The sequence below is a fragment of the Homo sapiens genome, chromosome 9, assembly GCF_000001405.40.
Source record: "Homo sapiens chromosome 9, GRCh38.p14 Primary Assembly".
Classification (NCBI taxonomy): domain Eukaryota; kingdom Metazoa; phylum Chordata; class Mammalia; order Primates; family Hominidae; genus Homo; species Homo sapiens.
Window position 1 is genome coordinate 84752667 of NC_000009.12, and position 21227 is coordinate 84773893.

The 21227-nt window shown below is 39.0% G+C and overlaps 1 protein-coding gene across 38 annotated transcripts in view, besides 1 other annotated feature; it reads left to right on the forward strand.

Annotated features, from left to right (window-relative positions):
* The window catches only part of NTRK2 (neurotrophic receptor tyrosine kinase 2), a 358533-nt gene that overhangs the window by 84145 nt on the left and 253161 nt on the right, over positions 1 to 21227 (forward strand). The window contains exon 13 of one of the 38 annotated variants that reach the window (NM_001369547.1): positions 8554 to 8606. The exons of the other annotated variants lie outside the window; for them this stretch is intronic. Coding sequence (NP_001356476.1) covers positions 8554 to 8573 — 20 coding nt within the window. The 3' untranslated portion in view covers positions 8574 to 8606. The remainder of the gene's footprint in view (positions 1 to 8553; positions 8607 to 21227) is intronic. 38 annotated transcript variants of the gene reach the window in all.
* Positions 6749 to 6948: an enhancer, noted in NCBI's record as "active region_28510". NCBI's record gives its function as "activates an Ori minimal core promoter by ATAC-STARR-seq in GM12878 lymphoblastoid cells {active_cell/tissue: GM12878}" and the evidence as "EXISTENCE:reporter gene assay evidence [ECO:0000049][PMID:35858748]".

Genomic DNA, 21227 nt, shown 5'->3' on the forward strand with positions numbered 1-21227 from the left:
CCCAAAATAGATAACTTGTCTTTTTTTAGAGGATGGAAAATTAATTTTACAGGGAAAACTTGTATAAATTTCTTGTTACATAAAAAATGCCTTGGAGCAGTGATTTAATGATTTAAAACCATTTGCTCTGAAGTTTAAACTTATGTATTGGATAATATGCCAGTGTTGTATTTTGTGTGGTCTCCTATAGATAGACACTATTTAAAAGTGTCTAAATGGGAATGCTGTGAAGAAGGTTTAGTGGTGTCTTAGTTGTGCTGGAGAGTAGGTCAGGTGGATTTTCTTTATCTGTATGGTCTGTTAGAATTATGGGTAATGTTGCTAATATTGCTATTTACTTGAAAGGGAATGTTTCAGTAGCAATAAGTTGCCCAGCATACACTGACATCTGGGATAGAGCAGATCTATTTCTGATGTTTCCTCTTTTCCCTTTGTTGGTGCCTGTGAACATTTCTAAGCCAGAAATGAACAGGGAGGAGTGGTGGTAAATTGGGGCTTAAAATAACTCAAAAAACCTCGTCCTGGTTCCTGCTTGGCCAGCTGATCCTTGATGTTTCTTCAGGGGAGGAAAGATCTTTCATTCTCCAATTATAAATAAAGCTTGGGAGAGGGACCACCCCACAGTGATTTTAATTCATCCTGTGGGGTGGTTCTCAAACTTGACTGTGTGCCAAAAACTCCTATAGGACTTGAGAAAACACAGATTCCTGGGCTACCCCTAGAGTTTCTGCTTTAGCAGGCCTAGTGTTCACCTGACAGCTGGCATTTCTAACAGTTTCTGGAGAATACTGATCCTGCTTGCCCTGGTTGTTGTGTTCTCTACACAACAGTGTAGGGAATCACTGTTCTCTACAATAAACATGGGCTGCCAGGCCCCCTTCAGAATGTGACAAGATGTTGGTAGAGACATCGCAAACCAAACTCACCCACAGCTTTGCACACATTTTGGGATCCCCATATCTCAACTGCACCCAGGCCCAGGCTAGGCGGCTGCTCTGTGTGTGCCGCACCCTACCATGGCATTTGGCGGTTCTCATGTTTATCAGGTGCTTTCCTTCCTTAGAGGCACTTGGACTGGATGTCTCTAAACATAGATTTCACTGGAGGCTACCAACTAACATTAGAGTTTCTGGTCTTGAAGGGTTTAGTTTGAAATATTTCATCCCATGAGCTTTTTGGAGAGAGGATATACCCAGGTTCTTCTGGGATCTCAGCAAAAGCTAAGTGGGAATCCATGGAGCAAAATTTAGGAACTTCTTCCCACCCTTGGTTTAGGAAAATCACTGGCAGAATTACCAGTAAATGGCAACCTACTCCTTACAATGTGGCAATGGAGGAGAAAAAGCGTAGACATTTTCTTTCAGAGAAGAAAATTATGTTGCATATTGAGACTCCAGCACTAACGCTGAAACAGTATTTCATTTAGATAATTTGGGGTGATTACCACTAAAGCGTCTACGTTTTCTGAGTATAACCTGAGGGCATCCTTAATGAATTATAAGAAAGAGTGTGCTTAACCCTGCCACAGAGCCAGTAAATGGCTTCCTACAGCAGTAACTACTATACATATTGTATGTTTTGTTCCCTCATTCCTACACACAAATAAAATCATTTTTAGAAATTTTGTCTCAGAGACTTTTTTTTTTTTAGAATAGCTTACTGTTCTATTTTAAGCTACATGTCTATCTGGGGCATGATGTGAATAAAAAGAGCCTGATCTAGGGTTATTGTTTTGCAAGTCAGATGTCGAGTTGATAAATCTTTGGGGATCTAGAAATTAAGATATGGTTCATGTATCAAGTGCAGATGAAACTGCTTAAAACGTGGTATTTAAACATTAATGTGAGTCAGTGTATTTTAAATGCTATTAGAGCTGAGATTACCACTGAAAAACATATGCTTAAAAAAGGGAAGAAAATGTAAAAACACTATTATGCTTCCGAAAATAACCAGGCAATGTATTAGTTGTGGTTTCTTAGTAACAACGGTATGAACTGTGCATAGCTTTGGCCAGGACTAGGCACCATGTGAAAGGCTTGTGGCTGCTGTGCAGATGAGCTGTTCAGAATGTTATTCCTCCCTTCCTAAGCATCTTTGGGGAGGGTCTAAGCTCATCCTTATTCTCTTTTGCTGGAGGCAGATGGGACAGGAGGAAGGTGGCCAGCTCACCCATAGGCACTCACAGCTTTTTGCCCATCCCTAGCAATGCGTGGTTTATTTCGAGTGTTGACTGTTTCAATCTGTAATGGAAAACTCGAGAATATAAATGACAGTTCAATGCTGCTGATATGAAGGGCCCAGAGAAACAAACCCCAGAAACCTCTTAAGGTCACCACACTACAGCTGAGTGCAGGGCAACACAAGCTTTATGGATTGGCCTGAGATCCACCCCTTACTCCTGCAAACATTACTTATGGTATTGCTCCCATGGGGAGGTGATTTCTAAATTCCAAACTAGTGAGTGAAACTTGGATTTGTAAATGCAACCAGTGAATTGCAGTGTTGTCTTTGAAGATGGGTCTGCAGGTCTGTAAGCTTCGTCGGGTTTTGTTCCTTGTTCTGTGGATTCATCGTAAACCAAATGCTGATGGTCCACTCCAGAACAGGCAGCACAGACTTTGAGCTCCATGGTAACAGCATTCATATTTGTGGTGTTCATCTTTATCTACTGAGTGCCTAGCCCAGAGTTGGCGCTCAATACATATTAACGACAGAATGATCAGAGAAGATTTTCAACTCCGTCCACCTAAGTTCGGTAATTGGAAAACAGTTAGTATTTGGAGGATGGCTAAACAGTGAGTGACTAAAGAGAGAACCTGAGACTTTTCTAAGTTTCTAAAAGAGACAAAGTCCCACCTCTTTTTTTTTTTTTTTTTTTTTTTTTTTTGGTTATTCCATATGAGTCATGGCCATAGATAAGAGATCAGTTTGTCCCGGTTTTGTCTCAGGGTATGTAGGTTTTCACACACTGTTTTCAACAATCGTCATTGTTTAAGTTTGGAGGATTCACTTTGACTTTTTATTTTGCATGTGAACATCTTCAATTTCTACCTCCCTACCTTTGAATGTATCGTTTTGGAATATGTTGTTTTTTCAGTTCTGAAGTTGGCAAAAGTGCTAGATTGGGGATTTTATCTTGTGGTAAACCTAGAATTTATGTTTTATTCTTGCTTGATAGAGTTTAAGCTTCTTGCTGCTAGTGTCCAATAGGCTCCCGGCCCTGTTTCCATAAAGATGTCAAGGGGTAGAATATCTCCCAGTCAGTTTTTCCTTGTTTATTTCTGTGCCTTTACACTGTCCTATTGCTTTTTTGGTTGATATGTAGCTACCATAATTGCAGAAGCCAAATAATGCCCTTCTGTTAGTGTTGGCCATCTATGTAGGGCTTATTCATACATATGTTTAATATGTATGAATAAAATGTATACCAAATCTGTCTAAATCTATGTCGGTATCAATATCCCTATATGAAAATGCATAATATTATCCCTTTTCTTCTAAGGCTGCCTCTGGTTTGTTTTAATTTTAGTTTTCACTGAAGTAGGGCTGAAAGAATTTTCCAGAACAGCTCCATTGCCAAAGGAATAGGCAACCATGCCTTTGAATGCTCTCCTTGTGTTGTAACCAAGTCTTGTGTTTAGCTCTCGCATTGCTTCCTGGCTCCGTGTCTTCACTGAAGACGTAGGAGTGCATGTGAGGGGAAAATGGAAGCATTGAGGAGCACCAGAGCTGCCAAGTCTTCAAAGGGTGCTCCACATTGGGAGCCCTGCCTGTGGCATTGATGGTGTACAGGGTTGCAAAAAATATAAGGGAGCCAGCAGGGAGGAGGGAGCTTGGCATTCATCACCCTGCTGGAGGATAGTTTCGGCTATCAGTTTTGTGTTATTTACATTTCCTGATGGAAGTCCACATATGATATCTAATTCCTAAGTACTAATGCAGCCTTTGTCACTCAAGAGTGAAATATCTAAATGACCCTAAGAAATCTCTGTAGAAGAGACTAGAAGAGGAAGCTTTCTTCTCATTCAGTGCTAATAGACTGCACAGATTTCCTCTGCAGCCTCTGATTCTTGTATGTAAACTCCCCTATCCACATTCATTTGTCCTACTTAAGTGTTGGAGGTTTCCAACTAGTAAAGGCTGGAAAGCTACCCTGCCTTGGGATGCAGATCTGGGTTTTCCTAAGTCCAGACTGAAGGCCCACAGTTCAACTTTCTGCTCTTATAAATGATCTCTGAGTGTCTTTCAATAGCAACCAAAAATCTGCCTATTTAAAAATAGTCATAAACATAGCGGGGCCAAAGCTAAAGAGGTTGAAGGTTAAAGCCTTTTATATGAGCTGAAAACAATTCTGGGAAATTTAAGAGGTTGAGTTTAACAGATATTTGGATCAACTTTTAAGAGGAAAAAATGTGACCAAAAGCCAGAAACACAGTTGTAGAAACATCTGTAAGGACAAACTGTTTTCCATATGCACCCTCTTCCTTCTTCTTTTTTTTAAAGAAAAATGCCGTCGAAAAATTAGAATGGTAACAATTGAATGCACTCTTGTTTTTCAAAATTTCAAGGAGTTTAGAAATACCTAAACATAAAAATGGATGTTCCCATCACCTTCTTCTGCATGACCATTTCCACTCCTAGAAATAACTTTCTTTAACTGTATAGGGTGCATATAGTATGTAAACAATCAAATATATGGCTTCATTTTTGATTCCATAAGGAAATTATAATACCAGTCTTGTTCTGCATTTTTTGGGGGTAACAATTTGCCTTGCGGATTTTTCTTTATCAGTACCTAGCTATCTACTACATTCCATTTAATAGTATTTCCCAGTTGTCTGATATCAGGCTACTTGGATCTGAAACCTGGCTCTGCCTCTTACGAGCTATGTGACTTTGAGCAAATATCTCATCCTCTCTTGCCTCGGTATTTCCGTCTGTAATGGGACAATACTAATACCTAACCCATAGGGTTGTTATGAAGACAAACTGAGCTTATATATATAAACCACTTGGGAATGTTTCTGACACTTAGTAATTGCTCTATAAATATGTAATGTTGTTAATATTATTGACAAATTATGATTTATTTGACTTTTCTTCTTTTAATGGACATTTATGTTTTTACCAAGTTTTCAGAAAATTATTTCAAGTAATTTTCAAATAATATCTTCTGTATAAAGATAGATACTTGGAAATGTATTGCTAGGAGGAAAGATATATATGTTTAAATGTGAATAGATTACCTTGCATAAATGCCTTTCCAATTTAGTCTCCCACTAACAGTATGTAAGGATACCCTTTCATTTCTTACTCTGATCTATACTGAATATTATCAATCTTTTGGCTATTTGAGTTTAAATGATACATTGATTAATAATGAATGTAAATATCTTTATCATGTGAAAAATAAGAGTAATGTTTATTTTTATTGTTGAGTTATAGATATACTTTGCCAATTATATATATATATTTATTTATTCATGATATTTGTGGCTCATATTTTCTTCTAGTCTTTTGACTTTTTGATAGTGTCTTTTGGTAACCAAAGAGATTTACCTTTTTATAAAAGCAAATCTGTCCATCTTTTCCATTTAAGTTGTGTCTTGCTTAGGAAGATCTTTCCTGCTCTAAGGTGGTAAACATATTTCTAAATATTTATTTCACTAGTTTTTTACTCTATGTATTTTTTAAACTTAGCCCTTTAGTCTTTTTGTAATTATTATTATTATTATTATTATTGAGACAGAGTTTCACTCTTGTTGCCCAGGCTGGAGTGCAGTGGCATGATCTCGGCTCACCACAACCTCTGCCGCCCAGCTTCAAGTGATTCTCCTGTCTTAGCCTCCTGAGTAGCTGGGATTACAGGCGTGCGCTACCACGCCCGGCTAATTTTGTATTTTTATTAGAGATGGGGTTTCTCCATGTTGGTCAGGCTAGTCTCAAACTCCCGACCTCAGGTGATCCACCCGCCTCAGCCTCCCAAAGTGTTTGGATTATAGGCGTGAGCCACCGCACCCGGCCTTTTTGTAATTATTTTATTAAACTTTGGTATGAAGTAGTCCTCTCTTTTTCAGAGACGTATAGAATAAAGATATTTGAATAAATTCTAGTGTGACATTTTCATAGAGATGAATAATAATATTTTAAATTTCTTGTATCAGAAAGCCACTAATAAAGCAAAAGAGAAATTTTGAAAATCTCAGTAATTAACTCTTTCTTTGTGAAACAAGTAATGAACTTTGCCAGTTCTTTCTTATAGCATGGGAATATAAACCACACAAAATAGTATCAGAGAAATAAGTTTTCACAGAAACCCTTTGTTAAACTACTCTCCTCCCAGCTTCAAGTGGAGTTCAAAGTCTATCTCAGCACTCTCTTAAGAGGCAACAAAATTTGTCAATATCAACCAAGTCCTCAGAAATTTCAGAAAAGACATTCAGTTGAAAGAGTCATTGAGTAAGGTAACAAAATGAAAATGAATCTAGAGAAAAGAATTAGTCCAAGTGTTCCTTTTCTGTTGTTTGGCGATGCTATAGAAAGCTTTTCCCGTGTGTTTGTGAGGTGAGGATCTACTTTTTAAAGTCTCTTACTTCTTTCCCTGCCAACATTTGGCTTCTGTCTATCTGAGAGCAGAAGATGCTTATTCTTTACAACATATTGAAAATGTGTGTCAGACTTCTAAGAATTGGCTAGAGTAGCCCAGACAGGAAGCAAAAGAATCGGCATCTCTGCCTTTAGCCTTGTAGGTGGATGCACTCTACCTTTTAATTGCTGGTTTTACCTGGGAATTCCCACAACCGCAGCATGATTCATGTGAGAGCTCTTGTTTTCCTGTAATGTAGAAAGTGCATGCAATATTGTTTGGGACTTTCCATGCTAGTATTTTCACTAAAGGTGAAAGAGCCTATAAAAAATTAGATTTTGTACTTAAAGGTCAGGAAATATTGTTACCACTTCTTTGGTCTTCCATTAACCTTGGGGGGAATTTGCTTTGACCTCCTCACATAGCTTATGGCCTATTTCAGACAGGACTTTCAAAATCTGAAAATCTTCTGGTTTTCTTCTTCTTTTCCCCCTTCACTTCTCTTTTACCTTTCGTTGTTTTCCCTGTCATTTTGTCCTGCATGTCTTTGCTTTCTAATTTTATATTTTTTCCTCTCTTGTTTTTCTTCCATCTCATTCCTAACATCTGATTTTGGTGGAAAAGCTTTTCAGAATTTATGAAGAAGACAGATAATAACTTGGCTTAAATTCTAACATATGCTTTGATTTTATCTTACTTTATTTTGAGCAAGAATACTAAATGACTATGGGAATACATTTAGCTCTAAATCAGCAGAATTGTCACGTGGCACTTCAGAAGACAGCCTGTTTGAATAATGCACATCCTTCATGTTTGTAAGTTGTTAACTCCTGAGTCTTCAACCCAAGGAACATATAGGAAAGTAATATTGAAGACATATGAATCAAACATGCTTGAGTTTAAATCCCAGATCTCCCGCCTGCTGGTCATCATTTTGGGCAAATTGTTAAACTCTAAATCTTAATTCCTCTTTGGTAAATTGAGGGAATAATACTCATCTCTTCAGGTGATTATAAGAATTAAATCAGTGCTTAGTTTAGTATCTGTCTCTTTAAACTAATTCTCTAAGAGGTAGTTACTTTTCAGATTTATGTTTTAGTAATACATTATTAAAGAAAATATTATAGGGTGATTCTTGTTGAATTCATATTGAATCTGGAATGCAGAAAAATGTCGCAAATGTAAACAGTGAATATTAGTGTTTCCAGGTTTATTAGTTGAGTCTATAGAAAAAAATTGTAATTACAATGTGTATCTACTTTATGGGTATGTATCATGAATACAAATGTGCTGATATGTGTGCTTCTTTTAAGCCCTTCAGCCCTTTAATACACTATGTGTGAATTATTGCAAATTCTTAATTTTATTGTCCTCTGAAGAATTCATCACTTTAAATTATTTTGGGGTTTATAAAAACTTGTTTCATTGATTGATTGATTTGGTATGTAGGTTTTAGCAGTTTTTCAGGGGAGAAATATTTTCCAAAGTAAAGAGGTGGAAAGGGCAGGAATGGGAGGGGGATGGGACCCCCCAACACCCACTAGCTTAGATCTAAAAACACGACCTCATGGAAACTTCTAATGTGTTTCCCTTTTGTACAGAAAGGATTATAACTGCTAAAGTGATTTATTTTAAAAAATAGGCCTTAATTCTGATGTATGTACAGCCTGCTAGAAAGGAAAAGAGGGATTGTCAAGAAATTAAATTCTTCCTTATGCAATAGATTGTCATTTATATTATTATAACCACAGACCCTGCATTTTCTGTGAGAAAGCCAAGGCTTGGACAGGCTAACAGTGGTGGAAGACCTTTGTTTTTATCAAAGCGTCAGCAAAAGCAGAAACACATTGGCCTTTTCTGTGATCATCTGGGAACTTTAGTGGCCTGAGGACAAAGAGAATGAGAGAGAGAATGAGCCAGTGAGCTAGTGACCTGATCTCTATTTCAATTCTTTAAGTCTTTTGTAGACATTAATATCCTGGATTGAAGCAGAAGAGTCATCTCTGTCTTCAGCGACAGTGTAAGGAAGGAAGGGGGAGGTGACTTAAGGGGTGAGGGTGCTGTGGGGAGGGAGAATGTTGAGAATGAAGTGGTGTTTCTATTTATGGTTGTGGTTGTCAACTTTAGAAGTCCTGGCAAGACTTGAGTATAGTCAACCACCCAACTGAGCCTTTCCTGCACTTGCTTCCTGGATTGCCTGTAAATGAAAATTGCATAAAGACCAGAAATATTATAATAGTACAGGACAGAGAATCATCTGAGCCTCCCCTCCAGCTTTAATATCTACCACCTTGTTACAAAACCATTATATACAATCACACACTCACTACAAAAGTCTGCCCTGCACTTCTGGTGAGATCCTTTATTATTATGGTGTGTAATGATGTAATCTTTTTCTCTATTGTGTAGCCACAGTCTCTTTACTGTTGACATATGAAATACTGCATCTGGAGCCAACACTAAATATCCCTGACTATACCTTCAAATGTGCGGTCATCTCCAGAAAATATTGCCTCTAAGTTATCAATAGAAGGTATTTTCTATTTAGTTGGCATTCCCAGTGAATCTGTTTACTGTTAATTTGCAGGTAGCATGCATCTTGTCAGAGTGATATGGTTTGGCTATGTCCCCACCCAAATATCATCTTGAATTGCATCTCCCATAATTCTCATGTGTCTTGAAAGGGACCTGATGGGAGGCAATTGAATCATGGGGGTGGGTCTGTCCCATGCTGTTCTCGTGATAGTGAATAAGTCTCACACGATCTGAGGTTTTTTTTTTATAAAGAGCAGTTCCCCTACACAAGCTCTCTCTTGCACACTGTCATGTAAGAAGTCTCTTTGCTCTTCCTTCATCTTCCACCACAATTGTGAGACCTCAGCCCTGTGCAACTGTGGGTCCGTTAAACCTGTTTCCTTTATAAACTACCCAGTCTTGGGTATGTCTTTATTAGCAGCATGAGAACAGACTAATAAACAAGGGTACCTTTGACATTCCAGCTTGAGAGCAAAGAGAGGCAGCCCTGCCTTAGCCATCTCTTCCTGGAATGGTGTGGATGTCAGGGAGCAGCTCAACATGTGGGCTGTTTCTTGATCTTTTAAGTCAGACTTCATAGCATGGCTTTGTCATTTTGTTTGAAGTAAATCCTTGAAACATTAGATGTTTCTATATTGAAATGACATGCATTCCATAGCCCAAAAGACATAATTTCTGTGTTATTTACTTGTAGCCTTTCCTCTATGAGTGAGGACAAGTGCAAGGTGATTTTAGAGGTAGATTTATGTGCATATTATGTAATCGTTTATCCCTCACATTATATCTTCGTTTTCCTGTGATGTCATGGCAGAGGGTGGATTAATCAGTAAAATGTCTAGGATTGGATTGAGAATGAGCAGACACCTATCTCAGGCACAACCTGTGAGCCATGTGACTTTATTTTTCTATTGTTCAATGAAGTATACCCTTTTAGCCCTTTCTGTACTGAGTAGCAGAAAATTAATCTCCTACCACTCTGGGTAATCTCAGACAATGGTGGGTAATCACAAAAAATTCCACACTTTCTCTGTCACTTCAGGTCTCTCACTTTCCTCTCCCTTACTCAGGTTGCATTTGCCTTTCTGGGAAATAGTGGAGAGTGTGCTGCAAGTTCAATAAAGTGCCACAGTGTGGCCTTGGTGGTAATTTCTGTATGCTGGTGGCTGTCCATCTTCCCAGTTGTCCTTGGCCACCACTCTATTCAAGTCATAGGTGTACCATCTTGTGTTCCTAACCAAGTTCTGCCACCTTCATATGTGTCTCCGCAAGGGTGTCTTTGCAGCTTTGGGGACATGGAAAATACTGAGACTGGCCCCCACTGTCTCTGCGTAGACATACTATGCAGAGACATACTATTCCCCTACTTTATTACTCTTGTGCCATTACAGGCTTGGGATTGCTCTGACTTCTGGACAACTTCTCTCGTCTTCCAAGAAAGGGGTCCTCAGGATTCTTCTTTTTGAAACTCTAAGTCTGAGTCAGGGCTCTGTGTTTCCTTAACCCTCATACTTGACCTGGGGACAGGTTATAGACTCTTCCTGCCTGTATCTAACCATTTTTCCCCTCACTGACTCTCTTCCTATTTCCTATGGGGACAGGAAGAACATGAAAAATGATTTTTTCTGATTTCATCTTCTTCCACATACTTTTCATCATATATGTGGATCTTGGTTTTTTTTTTCCCTCCAGCTTTTTACTGTAAAATTTTCAATATGAATAAAAGCTGAAAGAATACTAACAATGAATATTCATACACTCAACACCTAGATTCAACTTCTGCTTAACATCTTGTTATTGAAAAATACATTGACAGTATCATGTTCCTTCACTCCCAAATTTCCAGCATGTTTTTCCTAAAACTGAGGACACAGTGTCCTAAAACCACAGCCACAATACCATTACCATTGTGCTCAAGGAAATTAAGATAACCCTGTAATAACAGATATTACCTAGACTATCTTCAAATTTCCCCAGTGATTTAAAAATGCCTTTTATAGTTACTTATATATCAAACCAAGATCAATTCAAAGTTCATGCGTTGCATTTTTTTTTTTTTATTGAGTTTCTTTGGTCCCTTGCAGTCTAGAACATGGCTTCTCTTTTTCCCTGCCTTACACTGGCTATTTGAAGAGACTAGGCAGTTGTCCTGTAGAATGTCCCTCATTCTGTCTCTGTGTGATTGTTTTCTTTGGTATTCTTCAACTTGCCATTTATCCTCTCTATTTCCTATAAACTGGAACTTATTTCTAAAGGTTTGGTCAGATTCAGGTGAGAGGTTTTGGGAAGAAAACATCACAGAAGATGATGTGCACTTCATCTGTGTCACATCTGGAATCACATTGTGTCAGGTTGTTACACTATCAGTGGAAGTTGGATCACCTTTTGAAGATAGTGACCACCAGATACCAGATCTTTTCTTTATAAATACAAGTTTTTCCCTTTGGAATTCATAGCTGGTTTGTAGGGTGATAATTTGACATCTAGCAAATATCCTCTCCTCCTAAAACTTGAACCTACTGGGCTTAGCATACTTTCCTAAAAGCTACTTAATTTCTAAGGGTTGCAGAGGTGTTTTTCTAATCCAATCATTTCTTCTGTTTTTATTTCATTAATTTTTTTTTAAAGGAGAGCTTTCTGGCCTTGGCCAAGAATTTCAGCTCTTTCATTATAGTTCTGTCTTGATGACTCTTCCTTGAGGCAATGATTGGGTGCTTGGGATCCAGCTGCCTACACTAGGGAGGGTCATAGGATTATAGAAAAAAAGTTACAGTTAATAGGATCACTATATCAAAAATATTATTTTATTATAAGAGTATAGTTGGTGGGAATGCAAATTAGTACAGCCACTATGGAGAACAGTTTGGAAGTTCTTCAAAAACTAAAAATTGAGCTACCATGTGATCCAGCAATCCTACTGCTGGGTATTTACCCAAAAGAAAGGAAATCAGTATACGGAAGAGATATCCACACTCCTATGTTTGTTGCAGCACTGTTCACAATAGCTAAGATTTGAAAGCAACTTGTGTCCATCAGCAGATGAATGGATAAAGAAACTGTGGTGCTTGTACACAATAGAGTACTATTCAGCCATAAAAAGGAATGAGATTCAGTCATTTGCACCAACATGGATGGAACTGGGGTCATTATGTTAAGTTAAATAAGCCAGGCACAGAAAGACAAACATAGCATATTCTCACTTATTTGTAGAATATAAAAGCCAAAACAATTGAACTCATGGACACAGACAGTAGAAGGTGACCAGAGGCTGGGAAGGGTAGTGAGGGATGCGGAGGTTGTGAGGATGGTTAATGAGTACAAAAACACCAGAAAGAATGAATAAGACCTACTGTCTGATCGCACAACAGAGTGACTATAGTCAATAATAATTGTAGCTTTTAAAATAATTTAAAGAGTTTAATTGGATTGTTTGCAACTCAACGGATAAATGCTTGAGGGGATAAATACCCCATTCTTCATGATGTGCTTATTTCACATTGCATGCCTGTATCAAAACATCTCATGTACCCCATAAATATGTACACCCACTATATGCCCACAAAAATTGAAAAACAATAAATAAAAAAGAGTATAATGAGCCTAAATGCTTTCAGGATTCCCTTTTGCATTTTGTGGCTGGTGGTAGCATCAAAGACAGTGAGAGCTAGCAGCAGGTGAGAAATCACTTGCAGCCTTTATTTTATAGATGAGGATGGTGGGCCCAGAGAACTTGAGCGACTTGCCTGAGGGTTACCTGGTTTGTGGCCAATCCAGGGGCAGAAGCCAGGTCTCATGACTCCAGCTTCAGTGTTTTCTGCTGTGAAACTAAGACTTGTAAGAAGACTCCACAACACAACTTATTTCCATGCCATGTTCACTGCTTGAGCGTGTCATACGTGACTAGTATTGTCTTGCCCCTGGGTAATGCTATGTTTCTCAAAGCTGGGGACACTTAAGATCTGTGGTAACAAGAGAGTTTTAGGAGGTGCTCAGGGACTAACATTTTAAATTTTGGTAATTCTGTTATCTATTTATTTTAGTGTTCATTAGAAAAAATATACCTATTACATCATACTGTTGGTTTCATCATATTATTGTTTAGGATGAGACTAAATTAATATAATAGAAAAAATTAAAAAATATGGTTTAAACAATTTCATTTCAACTTAAATTTTAAAAAGACTATTGGGTAGGACTATCCAGTGCACTGCAAATTTAAAACTGAACAGAACAAGCTTTCCACCTCATGGAGTTTATTAAAGTTTATGGGAGGGGAGAGAGAAAAACAGAGAAAGAAATATAGAGAAATCTACAGGTGATGGCAAATGCTATGACTGAAAGTGAAGCAGGGCAAGAGGGCTTTGCTGTGTTTAAATAGTTAAGAAAAGCTGCTCTGCTACGATGACACTGGGGCCAAGAGTGAGAGAAAGTGAGGGAGGGAGCTCGCTGATGTCCTGGGGAAGAGTGATCTAGACAGAGGAAGAGTGGGTGCAAGACTAAGGTGGCCAGAGCAGAGTGGGGGCCTGGGGAGGAGAGCAGAGAGGGATGGAAATGCAGCTCACTGAGGGACTTGCAGCATTTAGGAGTTTTGTTGTTGTTGTTGTTGTTTTGTTTTTTTATTCAGAGTGAGGAGTACTTGTCTTATCCAAGGTACTTGGATACGACAGAAATTGTGAAAGTGTATGGAGAGAGATTAAATGTGGGCAGCACTGATGTAATGATGTATTAAATTAATTTCTTATACTGAAGCATGACTGAAGGGAAAGATATCTCATGCGGGGAGAGTTCCTCATACAAGAGTATGGAGGAAACTTCACTTCAGGGTCATGATCAGCTTCATTTTGAGAGGAGAATCCACCCCTCAACACACATACACACACTCAACACACAAACACACACACATAAAACACACACATACACACAACATACACACATTCAATGCACACAAACCACACACATTCAACACACTTTTAATACATACATTCAACACACAGATACATACATAACATGCACATTCACCACATACAACACACACACAACACATAATATGCACACATTCAACACACACACTTTTAAAACACACGTTCGACACACACATACACACAAGACCCACATGTATTCAATATACAGAAAACACCTGCACTCATCCCAGAATGATGGCTTGAGGTTTCTAGGTGTCTGCGGTTCCCCTGGGTCATAGTGTACACTCCTGGCATGTTGTAATTGTTACCCATCACATGGCCATGGCCACTTGAGACTAGAAAGGGATAGGACCCAGACTTTGACTTATGTCTTGACTTTTTCTTGAAATTCTTCTCATCTTCAGCCTGATTCCTTTTATACAGTCTAATCTACTCTAAGGCCTGGGATATTATATCATTAATTGCAAGGCTAATATAATTTGAGTAAAATTTTCTCTTCTTGAGATCTTAGTTGCTATTGGGAGAAAAATGACACTGAAAACTCAGCTGATGCATTTTCAGAGTGAACAAAGACATTGTGAGAATTTTATTTTTCCTCCTCACAATGGTTAAACATTAAGTAGAACCCATCCATGCTTTTTGCATAGCATTCCTTTTGGCTGAAAAGATAAGGATGAAACTAAGATTTTAAGACTCAAGATTTTTGAGGCCATGTATTTGCAGAGAGAAAAGAGCACTTGATTTTTCTGTTTATTGTCCTCCTGACAAATTATTAATAGTACTTTGCCGTCTTTGTCTGAATTAATCTTTCTTGAATCACCATTGGTGATGGTGATAGTGGAGATCTAATTATCCAAATCTCCTAAAATATGGTTTTCTGTCTCACACATTTAGCCTAGGAATGACTGAGTGTCACAGTGCTTCATCTCCCCTTCTTAATCTCTCTATATTTTGGAAAATAGTTGATTGGCTGTCACCTTTTGGGATCTCCTATCTTCTTCCCACATATTTCCCCATACTACGTCTCTCTCTCCTCTGGTCCTGCATGTTGTGAAACAGTGTCTTCTACCTCTTTTCCCCCAAATATCTGGGAATTCGATTCTTCTTAATTCTTCATTACTGTCATATAGCTCTTTCTCTTTACAAATTGCTCAATAGTACATATTTATTCTAGTCTGATTTATTTCCCATCACCTAAAATGCTTATGGGTTAGCAAACTCAGAGACACTAACTCAGATATTACCAGAAAACCAGCATGTTTGAAAAGATGGATCTGCTGTGTACAGACTTGCATAATGGAAACCTAAGAATGGAAAATAAGGGCTATAGTCTTGGATAATCCCATTCATTGGCATGGGCTCTCAAAAATCAATAATGTTAAGTTTGCTTTGACTTCTCAGTTCCCTCTCTAGCCAGAATCTTACACTACAGAACAGATTCTTACCAATTTCAACAATTTTCAATTACAAAACAATGCAAGGAAAAACAGAAAAGAAGTCTAATCAGATTCAGAATTTTCAGAATTCAAATATGCCAAGTGTAGGAAATGCCAAGTCTAAGTAGCTTAGTTCAATCACTTTAGCACTGATTGTAGCAAATGTTTCACCTTAAAATGATAGTTCATTGTAGCTATTTTGTAACTGTAGTAATTGTTGAGAATTTTGTTTGTGGAAGACACTCAGTCATTCCTAGGCTAAATCCTCTCCCCTTGCCAAGCCCCTCCCTCCGCAGGGGTTTTTCTTTCATCTCTTGAGCTACTGCAGTGTCCTCTGAACCCCTGAGATGGAAAACATCCCCTGACCCTTGGTGGCAGGTACTGTAGTTACTTATTATTCACTTATTTAAAAATGGACATCATATCTAGGTGCAAAAACTTAAGGTGCCCATTAATCATCAATATGATCTCTCTGTTGGGACCCCCAGAAATTCATCATGACTTTTGTTTTGACGTATCTGGTTATTCAGTGTTTGTAGGTGTCAAAGAAAACCAGAGCTCAGGACTATTGCAATATGGAAAAAGAGAGCTCAGTATGGAACTGGGCTCAACTCTGCATACAGCATGGACATGTGGGAATTCATAGCCAAGAAGCAGGGTGGGTGGCAGTGGATGGGAAATTACTAAGAGGAAACATCAGGGGTAAGGGGGGATCCTGGATAAACCAATGTAACAGGACTGGTTCTGAGGGCAGGCCAGGGTGATAGACATCCCCTGCGGGACAGTAGAGGATGAGGAACCTGATTAGATGTGGAGGACAATCAGATATGGAAGATTTTGGCTTAACCAACTTAATAGGATTCTTACCAATCCAAGGCAGACGAACGTGGAAGTCCAAAAGTCAGGCCTACTTGAGAAAGAGTTCAGGGGAGCCCAAGCAGAGGTTGGTCAAGGAGAGGATCTTTGTCGTAGGGTGTACTCTGCTCTTCCAGTTCTAGTCTTCCAGATGTGTTGACGTAATTGCCTTAAATTGTACGTGGTCAAATTATAAACATTATTGAAAAAATTTTAAAAGGCAGTGTATGGAACTACTTACTACCCTAACAAATTAATTGCATGTGTTACTTAAAAATATTCTGATATCTCACATTTCTATAATCATTCATAATAGTACATTAGTTAATCCTAAAATCTTATGACCCAATCTACCTACCCAATTGGCTGTCTCCATTGAGTCCCTGAATGATCACCTGAAGTTAAGCCAGATTTCCTTTCTATAGATAAAGATGTAGAGGCATAAGAAATTCTATTTTTTAAATGACAAGAATTTATTTGAATAAGGCAGAGTCTTGAATCTCTGTACTATAGATCTGTGTTAACCAAATGCATTGACGATACAATTCAATTCAAACAGCATCCCAGAAATCTCAGAGTGGTGTTGTTGGTTAAATGAATATGCACATATGAAAGAGCCAAGGACTTATTGCTGCCAGTGTTTCTCTTGGTTTTTAAGGAGTTAGCCAGTGCTCTTTCCCATGACTTCAGTCTGAGCAGGGTCTGTGCCCTCCATTAGGGACCAGCACAACGTTCTTCAGCAGAAAACCACAACAGTAGTGGGTTGAGGAGCTCATTTTTTGATGCCTGAAGGCAAACCTTCAAAATTGAATTTTATACTGTCAGGAAGTATTGATTGCAAACTTATTCCTTTATAAATCACCAAAGGGAAAAATGACTTGATTTACAGTTAAATGCATATCATTTGGTGATGAGCAAACTCCTGTGAGCTAAAGGAAGAGGTGACACAGACACGTTTCCACAGCATTTTCTTGATTCATATTGCAACTGTCGTCAGTGCTCTGCTCAGGTACCCTCTGACTCCCTTTACTGGCCTTGTGTGCTCACCCTGGCTTCTGCATATGTTTGCTTCTGAGGGTCACGCACCTGGAACCTTGTTCAGAGGGCTGGACTTGAGCTAGTGGAGCTCCTCCCCACTCCTGGCATGTGCATGAGAACACACACACACACACACACACACACACACACACACACACAAACACACAGCTGGAAGCAGCTGGGAGTTAAGTGCCTTCCACTCCCTTCCCTCAACCCTTTGCCAGGTTTTGCTGATGAGTGGTGAAGGAGTATGAAAGGTCACCCTCTTGTCTTAAGACTGGGCAAACTCTGTGGTATAATTTACAAGTTCTCTGCAGGATCTGTGGTATAATTTACACACCACAGCTCTCTGTAGAATCAGGCTGAGGCTGAGATTTCACCTGAAGTTGCAATCTTGCCTGGCTTCTTCCTCCCCTCCCTGTTCCCCTCTCCTGGGAGCCCCTCCTTAATAAATCACTTGCCATGAACACTCCACTCTGGGTCTACTTCTGAGGAACTGGCCAAAGACAGTGTTGGAACACTAAGAAATTTAATATGTTATTTGATGCCTTTTATCAGCATCTTTAAAACTATTTCTGTCTCTCATTTGCTAATTTGGACTTTATATGTGCAAGTGGGGGAATCTTAAAAGTTAATTTAAAAATGAATTGAGGTGTAGATTATAGTTACCATTTACTGAGAGGGCCGTTGTGGGCCAGGTCCTTGACATATTTTTTTCCACGTTTCATAATAATCTTGCTTTTTAAGGATGAGTTAATTGAAGTCCAGAGAAATTTATTAATGTGCCCAAGTCACAGAGCTAGTAATTGGTAGAACCACAATACAAGCCCAGATCTTGTGATGTTGATGTGTTAGCTCTTCCAACCTCCCTGCTAACTCTCCTTTCCCCCCTGGGTATTAAAACTTCTATTTCTAGAGCTATCAAGGAGGCATTCTGGCATCAAAGTTTATGACTTACTAAAATGAAAGGAGACTGTCTCTTTAGGAAGAGATAAAATACATTAGAAAATGCCAGACTTAATTTCCCAGAATGGGAGTGATTGAAAATAATTTCTAATAAGAGCTTGAGTCATGTCACTTTGTTGTATACAGAGAGACTTTTGTGCGATGTTTGACAGAATCTGGGTGGTTCATAGAAACACAAAATTATTCAGCAGGTGACAACGGGACAGGGCATTAGCAATGAGATTTGAGAGCAGGAGATGGAAATTTCTTTCGTGGCTCTCCCTTTGAGGTGGTCACGCTCGGTCCTGTGACTATAGTGTACCACAGTGCTGTTTAGAAAATGACTTCCTCGGCCCTGAAATGGACCACAGTGTCCTGAAAGCCCTAACTCATCACATAGAAGTTATCAGTCCATTGCAGGGAGGTTCTTTAAGAAAATGAAGGGATAATGGCAATGATGGCATGGCCATCTAGATGGACTTCCTTCTAGTGTCCGTATTGGGACCTGATTGAATTATTCACTGCTGACACAAGCCCTCTACACAAGTTAAAAATTCAGCAAAAATACACAAAAGCCATACTAGAGACCTTTAAAGTTTCTGTATGGTGAAGTCATCAGCATTTATCGCAGACTGTACCTAGTCTTTCTTTCTGGAATGTTCTTCCTCCATCCATCTGCCTGGTTATTTCTTACTTGGCTTTTTAAGATGAAGCTCAGGTGTCACTTCCTTCAGGAATGCTTCTCTGATCCCCACAACATGGACAAAGTCCCTTTTTAGTAAATTTGTGTGATCGTGTGTAATCATCTAGAAAAAAAATGCTTAGCTTATCATATTGAAAGAATATGTTTTCCTGTTAATCTTCCCACTAACCATCTGAGGGCCACTTCGGGGTATCGTTTGAGAGGTCAGCATTGTAATGGTAAATCTGAAATGGTAAAGAGTAAAATGAAGTATTTTATTTTTATTGTATTTTTGCCTTTGAGGCAAGATAGAGTAGCAGAAGGAGCAGGGGCTGAGGTTTTACTCCAAGCTTTCCTATGTTCTTCTTCTGTGACTCAACCTCTCTAAATTTTATTTTCTTTCACTGTGAAGTCACATGCCAGCACCAAAGTTAGGGAAGATTCCTGAGAATGGTCTAAAGGTTAATAAGATACTGCCCAGCAAATATTTGGTGTTCCATAAAGTTTCATAAAGCATACCTCAGATGGACAATGATGGGGAAATAGGTTTGTTAACAGTGGACATGCATCCATTTACTTGTTCTCCCTATAAACAATTTTTTTTTTTGAGACAGAGTCTCACTCTGTCATCACCCAGGCTGGACTGCAGTGGCAGGATCCCAGCTGATTGAAACCTCCGCCTCCTGGGTTCAAGCAATTTTTGTGCCTTGGCCTCCTGATGTAGCTGGGATTACAGGCATATGCCACCAAGCCTGGCTAATTTTTAGTAGAGGCAGGGTTTCACCATGTTGGCCAGGCTGGTTTCAAACTTCTGGCCTTAAGCAATCTGCCCACCTCGGCCTCCCAAGGTGCTGATAAACATTTTACTGAGCATGTACAATATGCCAGCCACAGGGAATCTACATGTGTACATCATACCTGTGTGATGTACCTCTAGAAGTTTGTAGTCTAGAGGAGGCCTGACATCCCAGCAGCTTCTATGGTGGCTAATGTAAGAAGCCCCACAAAAGAGGGGGATGATTCATTGTCTACAGAAATCAGGGAATTCTTCACAGCAGAGTCCACCCTCCAGTGGGGTCTGAAAGAGTGAGTAAGAGATCTCTGCACAGACGAGATGGAGAAGGAGGCAGTGTTACTTACTGAGGCATGAAGGCTCGTGTTGGGGTGGCATGGATATTGATGGAGTGTAAGATATGAGAGAACAGTGGCAGGGGACGATGATGGAGAGACAGACAAGGGTCAAGGTGCAGAAGGCCTTTGTGCCCTGCTGTGGGGTTTGGAGTTGATACTGCAGGCACAGCAGAGCCACTGAATTTAGTGATTGGTAACAAAATAGTTAAATTGAGAGTGCTAGAATGTCTAAATGTGAAGAGTGATCATGTTTATATAGATTTCTTAGCTCCTGCCAAGCCTTTTTTTTTACTTTCTTAATTTGGTATTAAAGTTGGAAGTGATTAATAAAGTGATAACATTACTAATTTTTAAAACATTCTGGTCTCCTGGCCTTCACATTGTTTTAATGGACTGTAAATGCTTGCATGGGCATGCTTGTTAAATGACTAATGTGGAATCCATTCATTCCTTCAACATCTATTTATTGAGAGCCTGCTCTGGACTCTTATAGACCCTGAGGATGGTTAGAGTCCCTGCCTGGTGGAGCCTCCATTGCCATGGGGCAGATGGCAAGACTAATAAATATATAAGGGCTATAGAAATTATGGCATGGGAAGAACACAGCAGTGATGGAGGGGTGAGGGGAGTCCTTCTTTAAGGAAGTGCTCTCTCTACCTGACTATGAAGAGGAGGGATTAGTGCGGGGTTCCCTGTTTAGGAAATCTTAAATCTTACTGTTTTTCCATTGCTGATTTTAACGTTCTTGGAGTTTAGTAAGTAGTAGGTTCTCCTCTCTTTTCTCTCTCTCTCTCTCAAAGGCAAAATGAAAACTATATTTATCACCACTTATGGGGCACGTCTGAAGTTCGCTGTAGGAAAATAAATTTTCTACCTTACAAATATTTCTTTGCTGGGATTTATGCAGAAGGTTTATGATAGCCAGTTTCTAATCTAGAAATCACAGAATTGGATTTGAGAATAAAAGCATCTTTTTTTTCCCCTTTCACTTCAAAAAGAACACTTAACACTCTTTCTCTTTTTTCAATTGAGTCCCTACTCTGTGCTTGGTTTTGTGCTAAGTGCTTTATGCATACAATCTCTCAACTCCTCAACATGTC